At 42.2% G+C, this 25,734-nt stretch overlaps 1 long non-coding RNA gene across 2 annotated transcripts, besides 1 other annotated feature; it reads left to right on the top strand.

The window, feature by feature from the left end:
• Positions 1-1,664: 1,664 nt before the first annotated feature.
• Positions 1,665-19,297, top strand: LINC01991 (long intergenic non-protein coding RNA 1991). Of its 2 annotated transcripts, NR_135538.1 has the most exons (3): positions 1,665-1,746; positions 10,863-11,343; positions 19,109-19,297. It is a non-coding gene; the product is annotated as a long intergenic non-protein coding RNA 1991 (long non-coding RNA). The 2 variants fall into 2 exon arrangements; NR_135537.1 differs by lacking the exon at positions 19,109-19,297 and having other exon boundaries at positions 10,863-13,361.
• Positions 19,109-19,248: an enhancer, noted in NCBI's record as "active region_20974". NCBI's record gives its function as "activates an Ori minimal core promoter by ATAC-STARR-seq in GM12878 lymphoblastoid cells {active_cell/tissue: GM12878}" and the evidence as "EXISTENCE:reporter gene assay evidence [ECO:0000049][PMID:35858748]".

Below are 25,734 nucleotides of genomic sequence, written 5' to 3'. Positions count from 1 at the left end.
CCACTTAGCTGTGAAAGGAGACAGCGTGTGTCACTTCCAATCTGGAGCATGTAATTGCTCTCTCTTTCCTTCTGGTGCAGCTGCCAGCAAGGAGGTGGTGACTGCTCTGTCAGCCTTGGTCCCTGAGTGGCAACAACAAGCAGCACCTTCTGCCAACCTACAATGTATGAAATAAAAAAAGAAATCTTTGCTCTTTTAAGCCATTGAGATTTGGGGTTTCTGTTATTGCAGCAAAACCTAACTTATACTGACCCTTACATTCACATTCCCACCACCATGATTTTTTGAGAATGTTAACATTTCCTTATACCTGGTTCAGCTTTTTAAAGAAGCGAAATCCAAAAATAACTGTATCCTTTGTCGCTTGCCTCCTTCCAGCCCTTTTCCTTCCTCCCCAGAATAGCTACCGTCTCAAAGATGTATGCGTCTGTCCTGTCCATGTTTGGTAGATTTACTCCGTAAGTATGTGTACAACACAATATATAGTATTACTTCATGTTACTAAAATTTGCATGAATAATATTGATTATTCTAAAAATTGCTTTTGTATTCAACATTATTATTTTAGATGTATCAATATTGATACGTTAGTTTCAGTTCACTCACTTTAAATTTGATATAATATCCCTTCATATGAATGTATCACAATTTATAAAGCCTTTTCCTACTAATGAACTTTTAAATTACTTTTTTCTTTTAAAAACAATTCTCTTAAATACAAGGCTTTTTATGTAGGTATGCAAGAGCTTCTCTTGGTTGTATGCAAGAGCTTCTCTTGGTTGTATACCAAGAGTGGAATTGCTAAGATATAAGGTCTACTAAACCTCAAATTTGATAGATATTGCCAAATTTCTATCCAAAATGGCTTTTTTTCATTTACAGTCCTATCATCAGTGTCTACATGTTTTGTCATTGCTTTATCATGTCAAACATTTCATGTTGTCCGACTTTTAAAATTTTAGCCAATCTGATGGGTCTGAAATGGCATCTCCTAATTTTTTATTTTGCATTTCTTTGAGTATCAGTGAAGTTAAGCATCTTTCCATTTCTTTTAGGATTATTTCCTTTTCAGAGTTTTCCTTGTTGATATAGACTGATCATTTATTTCTATGTTTTTTTCTCCTTATGGATGTGTAGAATTTTCTTCCTCCTGTGTTCTGGGTACTAATCCAGTTACATAAATTGTAAGTGCATTTTCTGCATCTGTGACTTGCTTTTAATTTTGTTCTTTGCCCAGTTATCCTTCTCTCGCAAGCCATTGGCTGCCTGCTTGTGCACACACTTGATTTTTCAGATCATAGCAACTACATGGTAAAAATGGCTTGGAGGCGTGTTTTGAAAAACCTAGGTGAATAAATGTTGCTTGCTCTAAATATCTGTAGTAGGATATGGAATGTGTTTTTACAAGATAATCGGTGAAGGACCTGTTTTGCTTACTCAAGGATCTCATTTGCTAACACGATTGTGTGGTGAAAGCAAAAGAACCAGGTGTAAGTGGAAAAAACCTTAGTCATTAAGAGTTGTTTGGGCTGCTCAATGGTGAGTATCAGGGGTGACTGGTTTCCCCCTGCCATGATGAATCCTGGCATGATTTGCCTGGCTGTTTTGACATTTTGTAGACCTAGCATATGTGGGAGGGCACTTGAAAGACGTCTCATACTCAAGTGGTCTCTCCTCTTCCCATACACACCTTACGGATTCTTCACAGGGTGTGATGATGGGAAGCCTAGACACGCTTATCAGAAGGTAGGAAAAAATGGTGTCTTGGAAGTGCTTGTAGCTTTCCAATGAGGGGAGTCACTTTAAAGCTTTGTTTATCTTTCTGTGCCTCAGCTAACCCCAGAGGAAAATCTTAGCTCAGGACAGGAAGCTCAGAGCACCCAAAAGGATGACTACTGCAGTGCAAGACTATTTATGTCTGCCTCTTACATATCCCTCCGTGTTCTCCCCCAGGAGGCCTGGGCTGTGCTGCAGCTCCAAGGAGGCCTGCATATATCATCACTCCCTAGGAAACCAAGGGGTATGGCAGAAACCGAGCTCTGGGATCAATTATACTGGTAAAACTACAAAGGCAGGGGGTGAGCCAGAGTGTTGTGGCTTAGGAACAACTTGCTGAAAAAAGACTTGATGTTCCCAAGTAGAACCCTGTGGCCCCAGGGGAGGTGACCTCGGCTGTCTGGTCAACCAGCCAGAGTGCTAGGTCTCAGAAGCCAGGACACACCTTCCGTTCCAGTTGACTCACTTGAGTGGCAAATTCTTTTCTCCCTCACAATCCTCTCATCTTCAAAGGGAATTCATTAAGCCCCACCATGCCATCGGCACTTGGCCAGGTGTTATACTGGCCCATTAGGTGGACACAGGCCGTAGCCCCAGGGAGCATGCCAAATGAGGTGGAGGGTGGCAGCTGTGACCTAGTGACATCCCCTGAGGTGGTTTTGCAGCACCTTCTATAAACCCTCCAGCTGTTTCAAACTATTTGTGTGGGGCTTTCCACACAAGCTGTGTTCTCTCCCGTCCCCTTGCTTTAGTTCACTCTTTTCCTTTTGCTTGGAATGCTCTTCCACTCTATCTGTCAATGCACTCAAATGCCCACTCCTGGATGGAGACTTTCCTGGCAACCCCAGGCAGAATTAGCCACTCCCAATTCTGTGTATTCTCATAGCACTCTGTATCATTAATATAGCACATGCCAATCTGTGCTGGAATCATCTGCTTATATGTCTGTCTCCCTAATGGACTCTGAATTCCTTGAAGATGCATTCTGCGACTTATCCATCTTTGTTTCTTCAGCAAGAATTTGGTTGGTGCTTAGTAAATGTGTGCTGAGTTAAATGCAGAAAGGGACACAGCTCATGATTTTATCTGATTTTACCTTGTGGTATAACTGGAAGCAGGTCACGTCTGTCTGAGTTTTAGTTTCCTTTTCTGTAAAATGGGTGGGGGGAGGATACATTAGAAAATGGCCTCTAAGAGGTTTTCTGGCTCTACTGTCTATGATTTTAAAATTCTAGTCTCCTATTGAAAAACCGAGAGTTCATCATAACTCTTTAAAGACCAACATGTTTTCGTTTACATGTATCAAAGAGCCTGATGTTCCCTTCCCACCTCTAGTCTGCCACCTATAAAAAAAGTTGTGTATTGCTTAGCAGTTTGCAAATTTTCTGACTGAAGTTTCAAGAGGTTTGTGGGATTGATTGATTACAGGAAGCGTGTAAATTTTATCTTCCCTGGGGAATAAAATTGTGGGACTAATTGATTCTTTTAAAGGCTTGTATTTTCTGGTGATTTTGTCAGCCTGGGTACATGTGGAAAGGGGTCTTGTGTAGCTGCTTGTGGCATCCCTGTGTCTCTCTTCTCACCACAATGCAGGCGTCACTGCACGTGCCACACCTAGTAGTCTGTGTCCCATGAGGCCCATGCTTTTCCTAGGCTACCTCTCTGCCCCTTGAGTTACATGTTTGGAAATTCCTGCATGGATAGAACTGAGTACCCCTCGCCTTCTGAGAACATATTTACAAGGTGCTAATAACACCTAACTATGATCTTAGAACTAGTCTACATGGTGAGTCAGACGGGGCTTATTTTCGACCCATTTTTCAGATGGAAGTAAGACACAGGGAGGTGAAATGACTTGCATGAGGTCTCACAGCTAGGAAGGTCTTCTGGACCTGGCTTAATAAAACCCAATGTTCTTAATTTCATCAACTCCTTTAAAAATTACTTTGATTGCTGCTTTCTTGATTGGCTGCTCTCAGGCCTCTTGGCTGATGAAACCAGAGGCAGGTGAATTCTACCAGAAGGAAAGAAGGGGTTCTAACCCACTACTGATTTTGTGGGACAAAGTGGCTGCATTCATTAGTGAAGGGGGAAGTCAGATTAGTTAAAACTGTCCATTTGGTGGTTTCTATCATTAGCATCTCACTATGCCAGTAAATGAGCTGTTGAAGCCTGAAGTAGGGGCTCCTCCTGAAAGCTCGAGAGGATTCCAAAGCTGCTGGGCTCCGTGGAGGAACATCCAGGAGCACATGGTCTCCATGTTCCCTTTTTTAACTCTACAAAGGCAGCTAAGAGGGAGCGCAACTTGTTACTGCACATCTCTGAGTGTCAGTTTTTCTATCTGTGAAATGGGGATAATAAATCCTCCCTAGCTTACCTCAGAGGATGGCTGTGAGGGTCACATATTATGATGGAGGTGGCAGTGCTCTAGAATCTGAAAGTGCAGGGCAAAAATCAGGTAATATCATTTGCTCTTGTTATTATACTTTTTTTTTTTTGGGACTGAGATTCACTCTGTTGCCCAGGCTGGAGTGCAATGGCACAATCTCAGCTCACTGCAACCTCCACCTCCCGGGTTCGAGGAAATCTCCTGCCTCATCCTCTCAAGTAGGTGGGATTACAGGCACCCACCACCACACCTAGCTAATTTTTGTATTTTTGGTAGAGAGGGTGTTTCACCAGCCAGGCTGGTGTTGAACTCGTGACCTCAGGTGATCCACCCACCTCGGCCTCCCAAACTGCTGGTTTTACAGGTGTGAGCCACGGCGCCCAGCCTTGTTATTCTACTTTCATAACTGTGAATGATCTTAATGAAGGGAAGTAAGCCCAGCTTGATAGGTGTTTCCTAAAAGTGGCCCGAGGTGACATTATGTGGGAATATATGGATCTATGAAGTATGAACGATGGCAGTTTTTGCCCTAACCTACCCATCAGAACACTGGAGAAGACTCAGGTAGATAATGGATTCAAGGGCATTGTTAAATGATAAAAATTATCATGATGATGACTTTTTTTTTTCTCTAAGGTTAAGGATATCTCTTAATAACTTGAAAGAAATGTACTCAAACCCTCTCTGATGCTATTTTCGTCATGGCCCTACCTCATCTTGGGAGTAAAGCGTTCCACTTGGCTGAGAAGTAGGAGAGGGGCTGGGTCGGAACTCATCTGCTCAGGTTTTCTTCCTCATACCATTCGGATGCTCTTTTTGAGTCAATGGCTCTAGCTTTTTGTAATGATCTATAAGCTTCTGGCTCCTTTGGCTCTAACTAGTCCCTGAGGATCAATTCCCTTTCCAAAGAGGGTGGGTTTTTTTGTTGTTGTTGCTGTTGTTTAATTTTCTCTCTTTTATCTGGGGAAAAAATAGCCACTGTCATAGACTGTAAAAAAAAAAAAAAAAAAAAAAAAGCTGCTTTTTGGGAGCCTTAAAAATATTTGAAATAAATAGGGCTCAACCTTAACTTAATAATATCAAGTGAAAACATACATACTTTTTATTACCAGAGAGAAGTAGAGGCAGCTTTCAATATACGGGACATGCAATGGGATGTTACACTGCAAATAAGAAGATAAAACTAGAACAATAGCGAGAAAGCCAATGTGTTATGTTCTAAGGCTTGGTGTAGTTACTGCAACTGAGCATGAAATATAAACTGAGCTTCCTGGCAGGCAGGACAAAAAAGTAAACATGATGACGTACATAATATTCTTTTTCTGATTGAAGTATGTGTCCTGATTATTTGAGAGACATTTTTCCTAATATTAATTTTGAAAAGGAATGTATCACTGAGTACATTATCTGAGTATATTCATTAGAAGAGTAATGAATATGTCTTTAGCAAGAGTTTTACATCTAATGAAAAAAAGTTCTTATATTTCCATCTCATTCCTTGTTTTGAACTGCAAGCGCATATTAACTAGTGACTAAATTTTTTCACTTGGATATTTCAGAGTCATCCTAAACTGAACATATTCCAAACTGCATTCATTAACTTCTTTCTGAAATTGGTTCCTCTCCCTGTGTTTATTATCTTGGTTAAAGCATCACACACATAAGCTCTCCCTGTCAGAAAATCTCAGGTTGTTTAGATGACTTCACCCCAACCTCCAGCCCACACCCAGTGAATCCTGGAGACACTGTCTCGTTGATTTATTCAAAATCCTTCCTCTCCTCTTCACCTCCAACACCCCTGCTTCAGTTCTGGTCCCTATCGTCTCTCATCTAGCCTATTTCGATGACTTCTTAACTTGCTTTCTTATTGTTTCAGCTTGTTCTCTACACTACCTCTCTACAAACTCATCTATAAAAAATGCAAACCTAGTCTTTCTGAATAGGCTGCCCGTTGCTTTCAAGGTGAAATCTAAACTCATGGCCTGGCAGATGAAGACTTTCACCTGCTTGGTTTTCAGTCTGATCTGCTGCCACACCCCTGACAGATTCTCTGTTCCAGTAACACGGGCTACTTGCTCCCCCGGTGCACATCGCTGCCCCTGTGGCCATGTTTTGCACAGGCTACTACTTCTGTCCAGAACTCCTGCCACCTTTGCAAACCTGGTCCCCTCCTATTCTAGGAAGCTTTCCTGATCCCCTTCCAACAGCCACCATAGTGTGGTTTTCCCTCCTTTGTATGCCCCAATACCTGTGTAAATCTCAGTTATACTTACCACATGGTGCTGCAACTGTTTGCTTAGTTTCTGAATTCTCCAAGACTAACTTTTCAAAGACAGGAACGGAACCTCAGTCATCCTAGATTTCCAGCTCTATATATGTGCTTGACACAGTTGGAGCCTGATAAGTATTTGTTGACTAAATGGGCAGATGAAAGATAGAATAATGCTGTACATGGAGCAATAAGGTTGTCTTTAGGATATGTTAACTGGTGATACAGAATCAATAGGTGTTGTGTTGATCAACAGAACTTTTCCTTTAGGATATATAAAGGACTGAGTGGATAGACAGTGCTTTAGACAAACCTCTCTGAAATCATCTCTTTGTGCTGGCTTTGGGTGGGTGCTGGATGGCAGACAGTGAGTGGCTATGCTGTTAGCAGAAGCCTCAGTGGCTGGCATTCTGTGTGCCCAACCTAGGCACAGCTGTATATTTTATTCATCTTATGTGTGTTTGGGTAGCTAAGGGCAGTGATATTGCATGAAGGAAAGAAAGAAGCCTGACCAGGAAGTGGATTATAAAGGTATCTCCCTGCACAGCCAGGATTTCCCTCAAAAAGTATTGCTTTCTATCAAGTACCTGGCAGAGAATCAATGGAGAATCTTTTCCTTGTTCTGCTCCATCAAGTTTCACACCATATAAAATTTTTTTTGACCAAGTCCTGCTTGTAACTGAATTAACTGGGGTGCTTGTTTAAAATGCAGACCCCCACCCAGGCACCCCCGCCAACAGACCCTAGCCTTAAATATGGCCTCAAAGTTGGTTGGGGAAAATTTTTGAGCATAGTCCATTGCCCAGCTCTTCAGGGATAATGGTAAAGCCCTAGAATGATGGTGTCTGGGCTGGATCATGTTTTTAACCTCCACAAGTTACTTGTTGTGAAAGTTTGTGGGCAAAAGCAGTTTTGGATGCTCCTAGGCCCAATGTAATAGAGCTACTCCACAGGCCTTAGGGGCCATTCACTTTATGTCTCGCAAGCCCCACCTGAGCCTGACTGAACTTAGCAGAGCCATGGTATGGGCTTGTGCTCTAGATAGAGGACTCAAGTTCCTGTGCAAGGCTTGCCTAGCACAGCATGGATTAGTCTAGTAATAAACTTTTAAGCAAGTCATATTAATAATTCAAAGCCAAATAGGATTTTGCTGTCCTCAAAACTCTTGCACTTGCATTCTTTCCTTTGATCTCACAATAGCCCTGGAAGCAGGCAAAACCAGGGCTCTTCCCATATTGTAGACAAAGAAACTGAGATTCAGAAATGGCAGGTGACTTGTGCAAGGTCACACAGATGGGACTGCAACTGCCTGATCTAAGATTCTGACTCCATTTTCATGCTGTGCTGGATTCCACTGTGCTTGCTGATCTCTCAAGTCATCAGATTTGAAAAGAACATTACTAAGGATGTTAGAACTACATTTTAGGGCTCAGGGATGTCCATAAAAATAAGAATTTCCATCTCTGAATTATTAGAGCAGACACTTGTGGCTGAATGTTACAACTTGAGTCCCATATGTCAAGAAGGCTTGCAAAGTTCATTATAGGGTCCTAAGCCTCCAGAGAAGTTTCCAGTAGTATGTTGACTTGCATAAAAGGGAGAGACAGTGGTGGGCATCTTTTCCTCACTCCATGGTTATTGATGTCACATTGAGAGCTTGAATGTGCCATGGTGCAAGTATTTATACCACAGAAATCAGCAAAACCTATAATTCAGGGCTTTCTCACCACTGTAGAACCAGTTAAACATTTTCCAGCTTATAGCTCATGGTGACTGCACAAATTAGAGTCTGAAAATTCTCCTCTGTCACCTGCGTGGCACAGGCGTTGATTTTGCCTCTAACCACAAGTCATACCCCAGTGCCCATCTTTAAATGGGAGACTCCTTTTATCTGAGCTTGCAAAATCAGATTCATGGGTTTCTACTAATAGTCCCTTGCATTTGTGTAGTTTGTAACGTGTTTTCACATCCCTCATCACTTCTGAACTGGGTATAATCTATTGGGCAGATGTCATCTACCCTTGGTAGGACAGAAGGGCCTGGAGATCTGACAGGTAATGTGACCACTCTCAGTGTCATAGGCCTGTAAGTGGCAGCCAGGGACTTGAACTGGGTCTTCACCTCCTTGTTCTGTGCTCCTTTCCTTTGTACTAGCTACCTTCACCTAGGACACTTGCAATGTCTGGAGATGAAGCCACTGTCTAGGGCGCAGAGAAGAGTTGCCTAGCAGCAGTGTAACATTGGAGTGTGACTTAGCCATTGACAGAAAAGAACAGACATGCTAGCTTGAGAGTATCCACACTTAACTGCTAGTCCCACTTTACTGATCCAATGCAAGGAAAGAAGTCTACTTTCACTTCTCCTCTGTCTTCCATCTTCTCTTTGTTTTTTTTTTTAAAAAAAAAATAACTTTTATGGGTACTTTGTGTCTTTAGGTCCTGCTGAGGGTTCTGAGCACAACAGATATTTGGAGTCTCCTGAATGATGTAGCAGTAATGCCCTGTTCCGCCTGTTGCATAACTCCCAGCCTCATACTGCCTGGTGATGGAATTATTGATTGTTAAGCATTTCACAACACATTTTCAAAACATGCTGAAGGTCAAGAATGGATGACTCATAGGCAGTAACAGTTCCTTCTGCCTCAGTCCCTCTACATGATATTGGTGAGGTTGGTAATGAAAGTCATTGAAGAAATTGAGGCAAAAGTTAACTCTGTCCAATCCTGGCCAGCAGGATTATTAAGTAACTTGAAAAAAATAATTCCTGATACTCTATTTATTTAGTGATTGATCTTCTAAATCAGTTTGTTTTGTTGTTGTTGTTTGATTGATTGATTTTTTTGAGACAGTCTTGCTTTGTCACCCAGGCTGGAGTGCAGTGGCATGATCTCAGCTCACCGCAACCTCTGCCTCCCGGTTCAAGTGTTTCTCCTGCCTCAGCCCCCCAAGTAGCTGGGACTACAGGTGTGTGCCACCATACCCAGAAAATTTTGTATTTTTAGTAGAGATGGAGTTTTGCCATGTTGGCCAGGCTGGTCTTGAACTGGCCTCAAGCAATCCACCTGCCTCAGCCTCCCAAAGTGCTGGGATTATAGGCGTGAGCCACCATGCCTGGCTTCACTTTGTTTTTTAATACCAAGTCTCATAAATAGTATAAAGTGGGAGTTAAGGGATTTCAGTGCTGATTTTGCCACTAACTTGTTCAAAAGCACCAGAGAGTACCACTGAGGTACTCAGCTGAGGAAAAACACTTAAATGATATCTAGGGAACTTTACTGCTCTGACAGTCTGTGATTGTACATTAGTACTTTAGACAGCAGAGAGATAAACCCTGATTCCGGTTTACAGATAATTACTCATCTCTCTGCCTGAGGCCAAGAAAAGCCCTCTGTGGAGCAGTGTGGAAGAATGCCTTAGAGCACAGTAGCAGAGAGTTCCAGACCCGGAGGCAAGGGGATCTGGGTTAACTCTCAACGTTGCCAACTGTGATTTGAATCTTCTGACAGGGTGCTGGGCCTGCTAGCATCTCAGTTTTCTCACCTGTAAAATGGAGACAATAACAGTGTGTGAGCTTTTTTTGGTACAAACGTTAATGCATGAAAAGACCTACAACATGTTTCCGCATGGGCTAGTTGAAAGTTTTGGAGGAAAAAATATCAAGCTGATAATTTTTAAATTTTTTTTTTTGTTTTGAGGCAGAGTCTTGCTCTGTCACCCAGGCTGGAGGACAGTTCCACGATCTTGGCTCACTGCAACCCCCGCCTGCTGGGTTCAAGTGAATCTCATGCCTCAGCCTTCCCAGTAGCTGGGACTACAGGTGCGTGCTACCATGCCCGGCTAATTTTTGCATTTTTAGTAGAGATGGGGTTTCACCATTTTGGCCAGGCTGGTCTCGAACTCCTAACCTTAGGTGATTCACCCCCTCCTCGGCCTCCCAAAGTGCTGGGATTACAGGTGTGAGCCACCTCGCCCAGCCGTAAAATTCTTAATATGTAAGTATTTTCTTCAAAAATGAATCTAATTTGCATAACTAAAGTTTCTGAATGCTTTATCTAGAATAATCATGGGACTGGAAGTTTCTTAATAGTTCTTCTCTAGGTTTTTGCACTTTAAATACCCTGCAGGTCTTTTCATTCTAATATAACATAATCACAGTAATAAGAAGTGTGACAAAGCTCTAGTAGTTCATGGTGCCTGTGCCTCATTCACTCGTCAGCGAAGCCTCCCTCAGCATCCCCTCCCCACATCCATCCCTGCACACTGCACCCTCTCCAAGCTGCTGCCAGCCGTGCTGCTCCCCTGCCTCCTTACTGGAGTGCAAGCCAGTAAAAAAGGAAGCAAATTCGGTTATGTAAAGCACATTCTGGGTAAGGAAAGGCAAGCATGTGTTTCTGCTTGACTGAAATTGGTTTTTTTTTTTCCCCACCAGTTTGTCCTCTTATCGGGATACGTCAGAAATTAGAGAGACCCTGGCAATCACAGCTTCCACCTCCTCATTTTACAAATGAGCAACTAGGCTCAGAGTACAGAAGTGGCTTTCCCAGGGTCACACAGCCAGCTTGTGACAGAGTCAGGATTCAAGTACCATCTCCTGACTTCTCCATTGCACCAGACGTCGATAGAACACAGAGAACCTAAAAGAAGAAAGAAAAAAAAATAGAGCTTTTGGGAATATATTGGGCTTCTGGTTTTCAAGGACAATTTTATGATAAGTAGCAATGATGCCTCAAAAGCTCTGGTAGCTAGCTTGAATGAACTTATGTAATAAACATTTATCACAGAACATGTGTCATCAAACACCTGCCAGTTCTGAGCGTTGGCACCAAAGCTGCTTTCATTGTCAAAGAAAAGAGGGGGAAAGGAACTTGGCTGAACAAAGCTGGCAGACGTTTATACTAGAAAATTTAGAGGTAATTTCTAGAGGAACAGAAACACATTTTCAAAGTCTTATAAAATTTATTTAAATGTGATTGGGTGAATTTAGCAGTTAAAGAAGTGAAGAACACTGAGGTCCAATTGGTGCCTGAGGCTTCTTCCAGGACCCAGTCTTTTCTGTCTGCCTTGGGCACAGATTTCTAGATGCCTGAAGATGGACAGGCCCAGAGGTTGCCCAGAGTGATGTCTGAGATTACTGATCTCTATCTAGGCTTCCATAGAAACACATCCCAAAACGTTCTTGGTTCTTATTGGAATCTCATCTCATTTGCAGAACATGGCCAGAGTCAAAGAGACATGGACCATGTGTCACTCAGACTGAGTCCATCCATACAAAGAGAATTCTCTAGCCTGTATTGGAAGTCAATCTACATCAGCATGACAGGGCATGTAGCCGAATACGTGGCCACTTCCCTTTGGCTACCCACACATTTTTGAACTGCAAGATCTGTTCTTTATCTACTCATCTAATGGTTATTACTGGGAGAGCACTGGACTATAAATTCTGTTGCACTTGCAGGTGTAATGAGCTCTTTGAACCTCAGTTTCCTCACCCATCAGATACTATTCATTATCTGCCTTGCGGACAACACCTAGTTGTTGGGAACATTGCATGAATGGCAGGTGGAGGTGCTTTGTAAACGCTAAAGCCTGCCATGAATGTGAAGGAGTGTTGCTACTCTTCTGTGCCCAACAATGTGCTAGCACCAAGGGAGTTCAAAAGAAATGTGAGACATGGTCCCTACCCTCCAGGAACTTACAACTCATTGTTGGGAGACCAAGACACATCCCCTAAAAACAGATATGTAACACCTCAAGTCTGTGAAGTACTTACTATTTAAATGATGCCCAGAGCCTCTGAATCCCCTAGAAGTACAGAGGAGGGGGAGATCATTAATGGTGTGGAGAAGTTGGAGGAGGTGAGACGATGCCAGGTGATAAAGTAGACAGAGAAGATGAAGGTCTTTTTTTTGAGACAGGGTCTCACCCTGTTGCCCAGGCTGGAGTGCAGTGGCATGATCGGCCCACTGCAACCTCCACCTCCTAGGTTCAAGCAATTCTCGTGCCTCGACTTCCTGACATAGCTGGGACTACAGGCGCACACCGCCACACCCGGCTAATTTTTGTATTTTTAGTAGAGACAGGGTTTCACCATGTGGGCCATGCTGGTCTCGAACTCCTGACCTCAAGCAATCCACCCACCTCAGCCTCCCAAAGTTCCGGGATTACAGATGTGAGCCACTGTGCCCTGGCCTGAAGAAGGTCTTTATGGGTACGGCATGACTGCTGGAGAGTTTTGTCACCGCTGCTTAAGGAAGAGCTTCCCAATGTTGGATATGTCTGTAACTTCATAATTTTTTTTTAATTTTGCGCTTTTGTGAATTTCCTCAATTGGCTTTCTTATTGGCCCCCAGGATCACACAGAACACTTCAAACTCCTCTTACGTGTTCTTGATTTCATCATTTAGCTGAAGATGCAGGCCCTGTCTTTCTTTCTGAGTTTTCCTTAGCACCCTCCTTTTAAATTACCTTTTTCATTGGTTAAATGCCATGAAACTTCATCAATTCTAGTTTTAGCTATCACTTGACCCAAAGACAAGAGAGTTGAATCCTGGACCTTAAAGAAAAAGAAAAAAGGAAAAAAAGCTTGTGGGAACCTTATTTACCTCAACTGGGGAAATTTTTTGCTCTTGCGCAAAGGTCAGGTCCCGTGAAACTTGTGAAATAGGTGTTTTTATCTCTTTTCTTTTCCAACTGATCAGATAGATATCTTTCCAGGAATTTGGTGTCAGAAATCAAATTCAATGAGTGGGAAGTTTGACAAGATTCAGGATAGTCTTGCCAAATAGCACAAGAGAGGAGGTAAAGTTAGGTCAGGTCAAGGGGGCAGCAAAAATGAAGTTTATAACAGATATACTGTATATTTGTCATGGGAAAGGGCTTCAGTCAATAGCAATTGATATTAATAAAACATAAAAGAAATGACAATAAACAATCAGGATAACTTTGAAACAACTTCTTTTTATGTAGGTAACATTAAAGAAAATTAAAGAAAAGGAATCGCTTTATTTTATAAAATAAATGCACTACTATTTGCAAAAAAAAATTTACCTAAAAATGCTGCTACTGAACAAACAAAACTACCCAAAATTAGAGAACAAAAGCATAAAAATTGTTAACAAATAAAAAAACTATATTTTTGAAAAGTCTTAGATGATACACAAAAAATGCAGATTTGTATAAATACACCATCGCCCTGGGATGACCTCTTATCATTGTCTAAGCAAGTTGTAGTGCCACGGTGTGTTTCAGACTATGCTATAGAAAATCTTTAGCACTCACCTTAAAAGTTTAAAGTAGAAAGAACAACCTTTAACAGGATCATAGAAAATGTTCCATCAGATCAAAACAAACAAGCAAACAAACTGAAGCAGGTCATTTTTCTCTTTTTGGCACTGTGCAGGACCATATGCTTCCAGAGATGGGAATTTAAAAATAGCCTGTCACACAGCTCACATTGTAATGCTGGGACATGATGCGGGTGGGAAAGATTGCCTCACACTTAATAATAGTGACACTTCACATTTACACCAACCTCTTTGCAGAGTAACCAAGAGTATTTCTCAGTTCTTTTTTTCCTTTAAAAATAATATGATCTTCTTGATACCCTGTAAGTGGAACAGGAGGGAGTACAATTCTTCCCACCTTACAGAGAAGGCGATTGAGGCCTCCAAAGGTAAAGTGACTCACTCAGGATTACAGAGTTACCCAGGGATCAGCACTGTGCTGTTCAAAATACACCAGGCTGCCAACTGCAGCAATATCCTGGGCCTGTGAGAACCGTGGGTTCATAGGATGTTGCACAAAAAAGAGAGAAATTTGCTTCCCATTGCCTCTGTTTTGAAATGTACTGCCTTTCATCTTGAGCATTTCATAAGTTTCTAATTTTAAGGCAAATTGCTTATAAGCCATGGTGACCTATATTAGCTGACATTTGAAATCAATCTCACACCAGTAAATGCCTTAGATTTGCATTTGGTACCCCCTTGCCGAGTCATAATAACAATGTAATTTCTCACATCTCCATAATTCTTTACACTTGAAAATGGTTGTACATTCACCATCTCATCAGATCTGTATAAGCAGCTATAATTTAAGCCAGGCCAGAGTTATGATGAGAGGGAACAGAGGCTCAGGATATGAAAAAAACTTTCTCATTTGGTAAAAGCCACAGAAACTGATGAAACCCAGGTCTTCTCTCTGCATGTGTAGGGTATTTTCCTGCCAGCCACACAGCCTTTTAGGTCTAAATAAAGTGTTGAGACTCCACTGCAAGTGTGTGTGCGCTCAGGAGTGACTCTTCTACCCAGTTTGGTGCCCAGCACTCAGTTCCTAATTGGCTGCAAAACCCTGAAGGGGGATTCTAGATGTGGCGGGCACCAGGTGAAGTCAGTAGTGAGCTTCCTTTTTGGAGGGAAGGAAAATTCTTGGCATACCGATGGGTCCAGGCAGACACTTTGGATATGTGTGGAGCCCAGTGATGTTGTGTTACTGGGTAGCCTTAAACCTTATTCCAACCTTGACTCCTTCTACTCTGTGCCATAAACTCTCTCCTTCCAATACCCCCCATTCCTCTGCTGCCTTCCCCTTTATCGTACCTGGCAAAACTGCAATCCTGGTGAAATGTATATCCTCTAATTCCTCCTTTGCTTGCATCCAAACAGTGGAATGTTGTTAAGAACATTGTAAACCATGCTGATCAGTTCACTTTAAATTTGTGATCACAAACCTGAAACGGACCGTGCCAGAGGATCCTATGATACATTTAGCAAATTCACTTTTTGGTTTCTGGGTCAACTCTTTCAAACCTTTAGCTCCCTACTTGAATATCCACTATGCTCTACACATCCCATGCCCTGGGATTATGACCTTCCTTTTTGCTATCAGAGGAGAGTTATTGCATTTTTCCTTAACCCACCTGCATCTGTGCCCACATACACTACCTCCCTCTTATTATAGTGGAGGAAGTGGCATAGTTTCTAAGGCCAACCCTTCCATTTGTCCTCTGTATCCCATCTCCTTTCCTATGCTTCTCTCTTGCAACATCAAATTCTGATGTTCCTTTACATCTAACCCATCAGCATACAAATATGCCTTTATAACAACTACTAAAAATAAAAAAAAACCCAGCTCTCCCTTGGCCCTACATGTCCCTTTAACTACCACCCCCTTTCTTTAATGCCTTCACAAAAAGACCTTTAAAAGTAAGATCTACATTTCCTGTCTCCACTTCTTTAGCTCCCTTTCTCTCCTCAACTCTGCTCTAATTTTCTTCAGACTCTATATCACTCCACTTAAACAGCCTTTATCAGAGTCACCAATGACCTACATATTTCCAAGGTCGAAGTGTATTCAGCTAACTGAACTATTGAGCTGAATTGGACATGGTCAATCCTTCATACTTCTTTAAACACTTTCTTCTCTAGGCTTTGTGATCCCACACTCACCTGGTTTGTCCTTACCTTTCTGTCTCCTTGTCTGGCTGTTTCTCCTCGACATCAGATTTTGGCGTGCTCTGGGGTTCTTATCTCTATTCTGTCTGTACTCTTCTTGGATGAACTCATTGAGTCCCCTGGCTTTAAAATACCATTTATACGCAGAAAACTTCAAATCTCTATCTCTAACTGACTTCTCCCTTGAGCTTCAGACTCCATAACTCTACTTGTATATGTAAAAAGCACTTCACACAAACTGTGACCCAAACCAAACTATTGATTTAGTCTTTCTCTACCCCGAATTCCTTCCCCTCAAGTCTTCCCTATCACAGTAAGTGCTACCTGGCCTCCTAGCTATTCGTTCAACGCAAATAATTGAGTCATTCTAATATTCTTTATTTCCCTGAAACCCTATGTGTAATCTCTCAGCAAGTCCTATTGACTTTACGTCTAAAATATATGTCAAATTAGACTATTTCTCACCATCTGCACTGCTGACTATCTTATTCCAAGCTATTATCATGTTTTTCCTGCCCACACTTTTTCCCTCTACAGTCAGCTCTTCATGCAGTAGCCAGACTGATCTTTCTAAAGCCATAAATTATAAGTTTATCTCTTTGCTAAACCCTCTTACCATGAGCTATAAAACCCTACATGATCTGGTCCCAACTGCCTGTTCAGCATCATCTCCCTCCACTCTCAGCCTCATCCATGAAGTTCACTGGCCTTTTTCTCCCTCAAACTTGCTCAATACTTTCAGATATGAAGAACGTTCACTTACTTTTCCTTCTGTTTGGATGTTCTTCTTCTGGATCTACAATGGCTGCATCATCTTGTCATTCAGGCCTCAGTTCTAATGTCATTTCTGTAGAGCAAGTTCACTTGACTGATGTAACTAAGGTATCTCTCTTTAGAACCAGGTAAGTATCCTAACCTCTCACCAGAGAAGTGTTTTCATTATGTTGAATTTTAGTGAATTATAAATTGAAATTGTCTCTTGTGGTTTCTGAAGACATTATTTGCTCTGTCACTTGGTGGCCTTTTCTATAAAACCCCATATGAGGAATTCTTTTAGGTCTAAGTGCTAGAAAAGCTTTGCTTCCCTTGAGGAATTGATGATGACACAACTGATTTTGCTTTGTTTTATTTGGCTTTGCCAACACGAAGCTCAGAGCCAAAATTTTGGCTGCTTTATTGCAAATGTGTAAGAATATATGACTTGGTTGTCTGTCTAGACAGCAGTGTCTAATAGATCTTTCTGCAATCACGGCAATATTCTGTATCTGAAATGTCCAATAAGTAGCCACTGGACACATGTGGTGACTAAGCACTTAAAATGTGGCTTGTGAACCTGAGGAGCTACATTTTAACTATATTTAATTTTAATTAATTTAAATATAAATAGATACATGTGCCTTGTGGCTGCCACATTGGAAAGCACAATCCTATATATCCTATGGTTTATTGATAAGATATTGTAGTTTATTTTTATGTACTCTTCATTATTCATTATTGTATTTCCTATAAATTACCTCAAACCTTTGTGGCTGGAGGTAGAAAAAAAAAAGAAAGGAACAAAGCACAATTAAATGAACAATTGACTTTGCAGGGCATGTCAGCACGTTCATAGGGTTGAAGGAAGTGGCAAGTATACAGCAACAGTGGATCTTAAATCCTATTTCTCCTTGTGAGATCTATGGAATGGGCACCAGCATCAAGTTGGAGATTCAAGTTCTAGTTCTTGTTTTACTGTTGGACATGTGTGGCTCTGAGTCAACCAGAGGTTTAGTATGTTCATATGTGAAATGGGACTTCTGTATTGGTGACCTGAAGCCTTTGGCATCTGAGATGCTGATGTACAACCGCTGTACCCATTTCTGTGCCTTCCAAAGCCAAGCAGGCCAGCCCTTGGCTACCTACCTAAAATAGGAGGCAATACTTTGAGAAATCATCTCATTCAAGCCCATGCTTCAAGACAGAGTCACCGGTAAACTAATTTAAAACAAATAGGAAGAGTCTTACCTTCCAAATGTCTTCTGGTGGAAAATAATTCATCCTACATACTTAGTAATTTGGATGTTTTTAATACAGAATGAAGTATCATACCCCTTAGTATATAAAGGCACAGGACTGAAATCAGAAGACTTAGGTTCTAGTCCCAGTTCAGCTACTAACTATCTGTGTGACTTTGATCAAGTCAAAGTTTCTTCTTTGTTTAAATGAGAAGATTGGACCAAATGATCTTTAATTTCCTGTTTAGCATTAGCCATAACCATAGCTAATATTTATTAAGTAGTTGGAATGTACTGAAATGCATTACCTTATTTTGTCCTATGGCCACTGAGAATATTATTATTCCCATTTTAAAGATAGAAGAAACTGAGCTTTAGTGTTTCCCAAAGACATAGAGTTGGTAAATGGTAGAGTCTTTATCTGAACCCCCGTGGTCTGGATTCGGGACCCACTTTCTTACCTGCTTTGTCTTCTCTAGAATTTTGTGATTTTTATAGGCCAGAACACTCTTGTTATTCTGATTAGACAAAGAGTTGACTTAATCCTTTAAACTGAACTTTCCCAAATCTGGGTTTCAAATGGGCCCAAATAGTGTCTCTTCAGTCTTTGGAGTGGCCAGGAAGAGCTCAGCACAGCCACAATTAATGAGTTGGTTGCTACCGGGCAAGAGTGGCCTTGTTCTTTCACCCAGTTTGCTGTACAAATAATACCATGTTCTAGGTATGCTGTATATAAAAAAACATTGGGAAGCATGTGAATTTAGATGTATGTCATGACAAGGGTTTAGCTTGGACTTTTCACAAGTCATATCATACACATTTCACAAGATCCTATCACAAAGAGAAGGTTTATCCCACAAATCTCAGGCATCACTTCTTGAACATGGAGCACCTCAATCATTCCTGTGTCTCCAACTTGTTGATTTCAGAAGCTGATCCTAAGCTCATCTTCAATTGTAAATGATTTTGCTAATTGTTAGAAAAGCACATTGTTAGAATAGCTAATTGTTAAAACAGTTGGTTAGAATCCATGGGAGCTTCAGCAATTTTGAGTTCAATCCCAAGAGGGAAGAGGATTTTCTTAAGGTCAATGTCAGAGTTTGGACTAAATCCCCGGTCTCTTTCATGCCCAAGAAAGGGCCCTTTTTCCCTTTTCTGACTAGTAGTCAGGTTTACTTCCTTGGGAGATGGAACAAATGAAACATAACTGAAATTTCATCTTGCCTCTGCAGATGTCAGGAGCAAGGGAGCACCAGTGGTAGAAGAACCTGCCTCCCCTGGCTCCATCAAAGGCCACAGGCCCATGAGAATCACCCGGCCTGCTCTGAGCAGCACACTCGGAGGCCACAGCCACGCACAGGAAAGTGAGAGGAAGTGGAAACGTGCGAGCAGAGGGCTCAAAGCGACGGGCTCACCACCGGAAAAAAAAAATAAAAATAAACACGCTCAGAAATAGTGTAACTGATATGCAAAGAAGATCAAAACAAGGGTTTTAAAATATCTTGGCTGCTTTAGAGGAGATGGGGGTGGTAATTAAAGCGAGGTTGCAAATGCGTGTTAGGGGAGTGGGGCGGTTAGGTGGATGGTTCACTGAAGCCTGCCAGGACATGGGAGCCTGGGAGCCCAAGGGTATTTCAGATGAAAATGTGGCACTTATATGTGGAATGTAAAAGAAAGTTGAACTCATAGAAGCAGAGAATAAAATGGTTATTCTCAGAGGCTGCCAGGTGGTGGGACTGGGGAGATGTTGGTCAAAGGACACATTTTAATAAATTCAAGAGATTCATTGCCCATCACGGTGACTATAGTTAACATCAATACATTTTATATTGATATAAATATATATATATATATTTAATTATTTTGTTGGGCTTTTTGTTTAAGTTCCAGGGCACATGTGCAGGATGCGCAGGTTTGTTACATAAGTAAATGTGTGCCATGGTGGTTTGCTGCACCTATCAACTCCTCATGTAGGTATGAAGCCCAGCATGTATTAACTCTTTGAAAACTGCTAACAGAGTAGATTTTAAGTGTTCTTGCCACAAAAAAATAAGGCGCTACATATGCTAATTAGCTTGATTTAGCCATTCCATAGTATAGATATATATCAAAACATCATCTTGTACACCATACATATATATAATTTTGGTGAATTAAATAACAAATAAAGAAAGAAAATATGAGAGGAATAAATTCCCATGGGTAACTCAGAGGCAGATATGGACTTGAGAGCAAGAAGCCCAGAGTCCCTCAACCCCAAACTCTGCCCTCCCCAGCCCTTTTACTGTTCCCTGAGATTCTGCTCCATTTAGAGTCCTGTACATTTGTCCCAGGGCAGGGCTCAGACAGGCCAGCAGTGGAGGCACCAGGAAGTCCACCCAACTTGGCTGAACTTCAAGGCTCAAGTTCCAGTTTGGAACAAATGTTCTAGGGTTAATGGCTGGGGCTGAGCAAACTCAGGAAAGACAATCTCCCCAGTCTTGCAAAGTGAAATTCTCTTTTCTTTCAGTGTGTTGTGAAGAACTACAGAAATGTGTTCTCATTAAAAAAAAAAAGAAAAAAAAAGATTTTATTTTGAAACTGGTTCCTGAAATGGGAAACCAAAAGGTTAGTGATGGCTGTGCTGGCCGTTTTTAGCCTCCCTCCACCAGTTTAACCATCCCTAATAATAGTCCAAGAATCACAAGACATTTCCAGCACCAGAAGGTCATCAGTCAACAGCATAGGTGCAAAAGGGAGCGTTTGCTCTTCTACAGATCCCAATGGTCTCATGTATTTTAACAGATGAAATGCTCTGAAGGTGGGGTTGGGGGCGGCCTGGCCTTTGGAAATTAGTCACCACTCACATAGTTCTTGCATTTACACTTACAAAGCACTTTCACAGCTATTATCCAGTGAGATGGGCTGGGCAGAGAAAATTACCCACATTTTCCAGAAATCTGAGACTCCAAGTGAAATGGCTCAAGGTCATCGCTGTTAAACCCAAAGCACTGGGTGTGTTCTTTCCGGGGCCTTGAAGAACCACAGATGGGAATCAGTTACCTTTGCTCTAAACTTGAGCCATCCCTCTAGATGTCTTCCTTTTTCTTCCCACCCTTCCTCCTCCTTCTATGATAAAGTAGGGTACAATTAGTATTTTGATGATGAAATAGAAATTTTATACCTTTGATCCAATATTTTTTTCTTCTGTTTCTCTTATTTGTCTAACCATGAGAAGGCAAGCCCTACCCTAAACTATTTTTGAACCTGATATTTAGTAAATAACCACCAGCAGATGCATGTGAGTTGAGGTGGGAGACCCTTTTCTGAGCTGAGGTGGGAGATGACAGGTAAAGGCTAGCCTTAACTTCTGCCTGATGCACATTTGCTCTCTAGGCCTAGAGAGTATTATGGTTTACACAAGCTATGGAATTTAAGAAGAGAGAGCTCACTGTGTGCTGGGAGCATCCAGAGATATTCTAGCAATGGGTGCCATTATTGAAGAAGCACCTTGAAGATGGATCTGTGGGGTGGTGTGGGGAAGCAACATGATAAGGTCCAGGCCAAGTGTAGTGGCTCATGCCTGTAATCCCAGCACTTTGAGAGGCCGAGGCAGGTGGATCACGAGGTCAAGAGTTTGAGACCAGCCTGGCCAATATGGTGAAACCCCATCTCTACTAAAAATACAAAAATTAGCTGGGCGTGGTGGTGCGTGCCTCAGTCCCAGCTACTTGGGAGGCTGAGGCAGAAGAATCGCTTGAACCCGGGAGGTGGAGGTTGCAGTGAGCCGAGATCATGCCACTGCACTCCAACCTGAGTGACAGAGCGAGACTCCATCTCAAAAAACAAAAAGCAAAAAACAAACAAACAAAAAAGTTAAGGTCCAGAGGTTTAAAAAGTGCATTAGACATTGTGGGAAATTCACATAGCTTCACCATGCTGACATGGTGGAAATAATGTTAGGGAGATATTATGGAGTCATACTGTGGAGGGCCTTAAAAGACAAGCAGAGTCATTGGAATTTTATCCTATGGGCATTTAGGAGTTGCTGAAAGTTTGTGAATGGGAGAGCAGGCGAAGAAGAATGGTATTCTAGAAAACTCTTTTTAGCTGGGTATGCAAGATGGAAAATAACGGGAGTAGCTGGCAGAAGAAAGATTATAAGGAACACTGAACGTGGAGTCAAGAGGCTGACTATAATTTCTAACCTTGATTAGGTTAGTCCCAGATATAAGCATAAACATATATGATTATCTCCTCTCTAATATGCAAACCTGTGTGGCCTACCCTTCAGGAGGTCCTGAACATCCCCTGAATTGAGGGAGGTTAGAGTGCTTTGTAAACTCTGAAACTACAGAACAAACATGGGAGATAGTGATGCAGCCTGGCAGATGCATTGAAAACATGGGCAGGTTGGTGCCTTGGGGATGGGTGGTTGGAGGGAAGGTTGAGTGAATGCCAGCTCTCCATTTAGGAAGTATCTTTCCTCTGGAGGAGTATCCCCTTTCCTTCCTGGAAACTTCTGTGTCACCTGGCACAGACTGGGGGCTAGTGGAAGATGGAGGCATGTCAAGCTGGTAGTCAAGAGTCAAAGACAAGAAATCCCTGAGGTCTCTAGTAACTTCCTCAAGGGGAATAAAAAAAAAAAAATGACAAAGCTAGCCCTTTAACCCCAAGCTTGAAATCAAAATAAACAGTTGGGTTACTGTTTTGCAGAGTTGCTGAGTAATTGTAAAGGGCAAAGAAGAGTCAGTTTTCACAAGAAGATTGCTCAATGGAAAGGTTTTGCCAGTGGAGGTGTCTGGGAAGGTACAAGCAGAAGCCGGCTTAGTTATTGTAAGGAGCTGCTCATTGGAAGACAAGCCTTGGCCTCATGGAGAAAAAGGGTTAACATGAAACAGTGGGAAGCAAACTGCTGAACTGGGACTAGGTTAGGAGGGTTAAGAGAGAAGCATCTGGGCTTTCAGCCACCCTTGGGCTTCTAGTGGAAGCATTTCACAATCTCCTTTCTTCACGGGTTATGTCCTTAAATTGAACAGCCAGTGGGGGCATCTTGGGGTAGTGGAAAGTGTGTTGCAGGCCTGGCTTCAGCACTGCCTGGTGGTGTGACCCTTCCTCTCTGGGCCAGGGTTAGACTAGATGGGATGATCCCTGGGGCTCCTTTCAGATCTAGACCCCTAGGAGGTGTGGGGCAGGCGCAGCCTGTTTTATCAGATTTAAATTCAGAAAGGACAGCTACTGTAAATGACCAGGCTTTAGTGCTGGCAGTGACAGCTACATAAGGAATTTCAAATAAGGTCATCTTAAAGCAAAAGCAACTGCGTGCTTGCTGACCAAGGCTTGTGGATCAGATGAATCAGAAAGCTGGGACCCTTCTGAGTTCATGCTTACCAATCTGTGGGGTTCAGTGTAACTAGATGATACTTTCCCTAATCAACATCATGTATGGGGCAGCAAGTTCCCTTTGAACTTTAGAGAACATAAGCCACAGATGATTTCCCTCCCACTTCCATTTTCCCTTCTCAAGTCTTAGAAAATAAGATCTCTTCCCTTCCCCTTTCCCCCATTTCCCAAGCAGGTTCTCAGTGATAAATGTGCCACTTTCTCTCTTGCACTCACTTGCCCTTGTCCTTTCTGGTGAAAAGAACTTTACCGGTCCAGGCTTTGGGAAGTAGGGTGTCGGGGCATGAAGACAAAGTTCACAAAGCTCGACCAGCTGGTTCCTCTGGTGGCCCAGACTGGGCTGGGTTGTGTTGTGTGTCCACACAGGCAGAGAGGTACCACAGTGAGGTACTCTTTTATTTCTGAAGGGAAACCCTATTCTTCCAGAACAGTTCACAATCACCATTGACATTTTCTGGCCCTGCCTGCAGAATCCAGAGAAACATCCACATGAAATAAAGCTTTACCAAGTGCCAGGATTCAGTTTTAGATGAGGCAAATGACCCACAGGCAGATAAAGAAGGAGACAGGATAAGTGGAGAAGTCACTGTGATACCCTGTAGCATATGGGGATGGCCCTACAAGTATAGGGTGACTTCAAAAGAAGGAGGAATCACACTCAGATTGAAGATCAGAGAAGGCTTCATGGAAGAGATGACATGAGCTAGACCAATTATCAATGACAATTATCAATGTCATTATTATTTTGATGATTATGATTAAAGCTAACTTTTGTTGTTCTCTCACTATGTTTGAGGTACTGTGCTATGCCCTTGTATATTATCTCAGTTCCTCTTCATGGAAATCCTCCCCTGTTAGATAGCATCATTTTGTAGATGAGGAAATTGAGGCTCAGAGGTGATAAATTGCTTTTCCAAGGCCACCCAGAGAGTAAATGATTAGAGCCTGTGATTTCCATAGAGGTATGGATGTGAGATATTCTTAGTGGAGGGTAAGAATGACTGATTAGAGTGGGTACATCATAATTTTGATTGGGTAGGGAATCTGTGGGAGTTAAAGCCAGTGGGACTTGAAGACCAGTGAGAAGTTCAACTTTGTCTGCAGACTGCAAGGAGCCTGGCAGCTTTTGAGGAGGACAGTGACATAATGAGAAGATGGCTTTTGAGATGCTAATTTAGCCTGGAGTGCAAATGGACTCCAGGGAGGACTGACGGCGAGGGGATGGACTCAGAACTGGAGTCCAATCTTCTGAGAGGTGATGAGGGGTTGAGCTAATGGTGCCAGGCAGGAAGGAGAGTTAGAGAAGCAACCTTAGTCTGAGCAGTTGTCCGTCCATGCCCTTGCTTCCAGCACCAAAGGCACAGCAAGTAGAAAAGAAAGTAAATAAAGACAGTCTGCATGCTGGTGAGGTTCCACAGGTTTCTCGGGAGCTTGCCTGTCACTCATGTCTGATGTCAGGTGCTGGTAAGGTGGCTGCCAGTCTTTCCTCACCTTCAGGTGCAGGGCAATGCACCCTCTGAATTAGACCACTTTACCAGTCCAATTTGTATGTTTTCTCCATCACTCTTGTCTCCCCACTCCCAAAACCCCAAAGAAGTGGAATCAAATGAATCAGAGTTGTTTTCTTTTTGTTTTTCAAGTGGAATCAAGGTCTGAAGGAGAATACCTGGGCGGAACCAAAGATGGGATGCTCTGAATCATTAGTCACCTTCAGGGCATCAAACAAGAGGTGAATCAGAGAGACAGGGAGAAGGGCAAGAAGTAATGAGCTCCTGGCGCACTTGTGAATTTCAGAGGCCCCATGTAGACCGCTAGTGGGCAGATGCTCTGCTTCCAAGCTCCTGAGGTTCCTCCTGCAATGAATGTGGCTAAGGCCAAGGAAACACTAAAAATTGCAGTGGTTTTTGACTCAGCCAGGAGAGTTTAGTCACGTGTAGTTGTACTCTTCCTTGGTGCTTCCAAAGGGCTGCTTTGACATCTCAGAGAGCAGTACAGAGTGGCATTTCCAGGCCTGCCATCACCAGGACAGTGAAAGAAAGGGGTCCTAAGGACTATTTAATCCAATATGTGAATACCTAGAGTAGGCATGTAACTGAGACTCAGTCTCCCGCCTTCTTATTTTATTGATTTTACAAACATATAGTGCTCGTTATGTGCCAGGCATGTTCTATGCACTTTATAAGTTATGAATTCGTTTAATTCTCATAATAATCCTATAAGGCAAGTGCCTTTGCCCTATTTACAGATGGGGAAATTGAGGCACATAGACATAAAGTAACTTGGCCTAGGCCTTACAGTACTAGGTTGTGAGGCCTACCAAGATGTGAATCCAAGCAGTTTGGTTACAAAATCCAAACCCTCAACACTTACGCTCTGTTACTCTTTGTTCTCATTTCTACTCTAAGACTGGCATCCCTACAAAAAAGGGAGACTAGATCAATTCATTTCTAAAGGTGAACCATTTTAGAATCTGTAA

The sequence above is a fragment of the Homo sapiens genome, chromosome 3 (genome assembly GCF_000001405.40).
Source record: "Homo sapiens chromosome 3, GRCh38.p14 Primary Assembly".
In the NCBI taxonomy this organism is placed as follows: domain Eukaryota; kingdom Metazoa; phylum Chordata; class Mammalia; order Primates; family Hominidae; genus Homo; species Homo sapiens.
The sequence above is the reverse complement of the archived record's forward strand: the minus strand, read 5'-3'. Positions and strand labels throughout refer to the sequence as shown.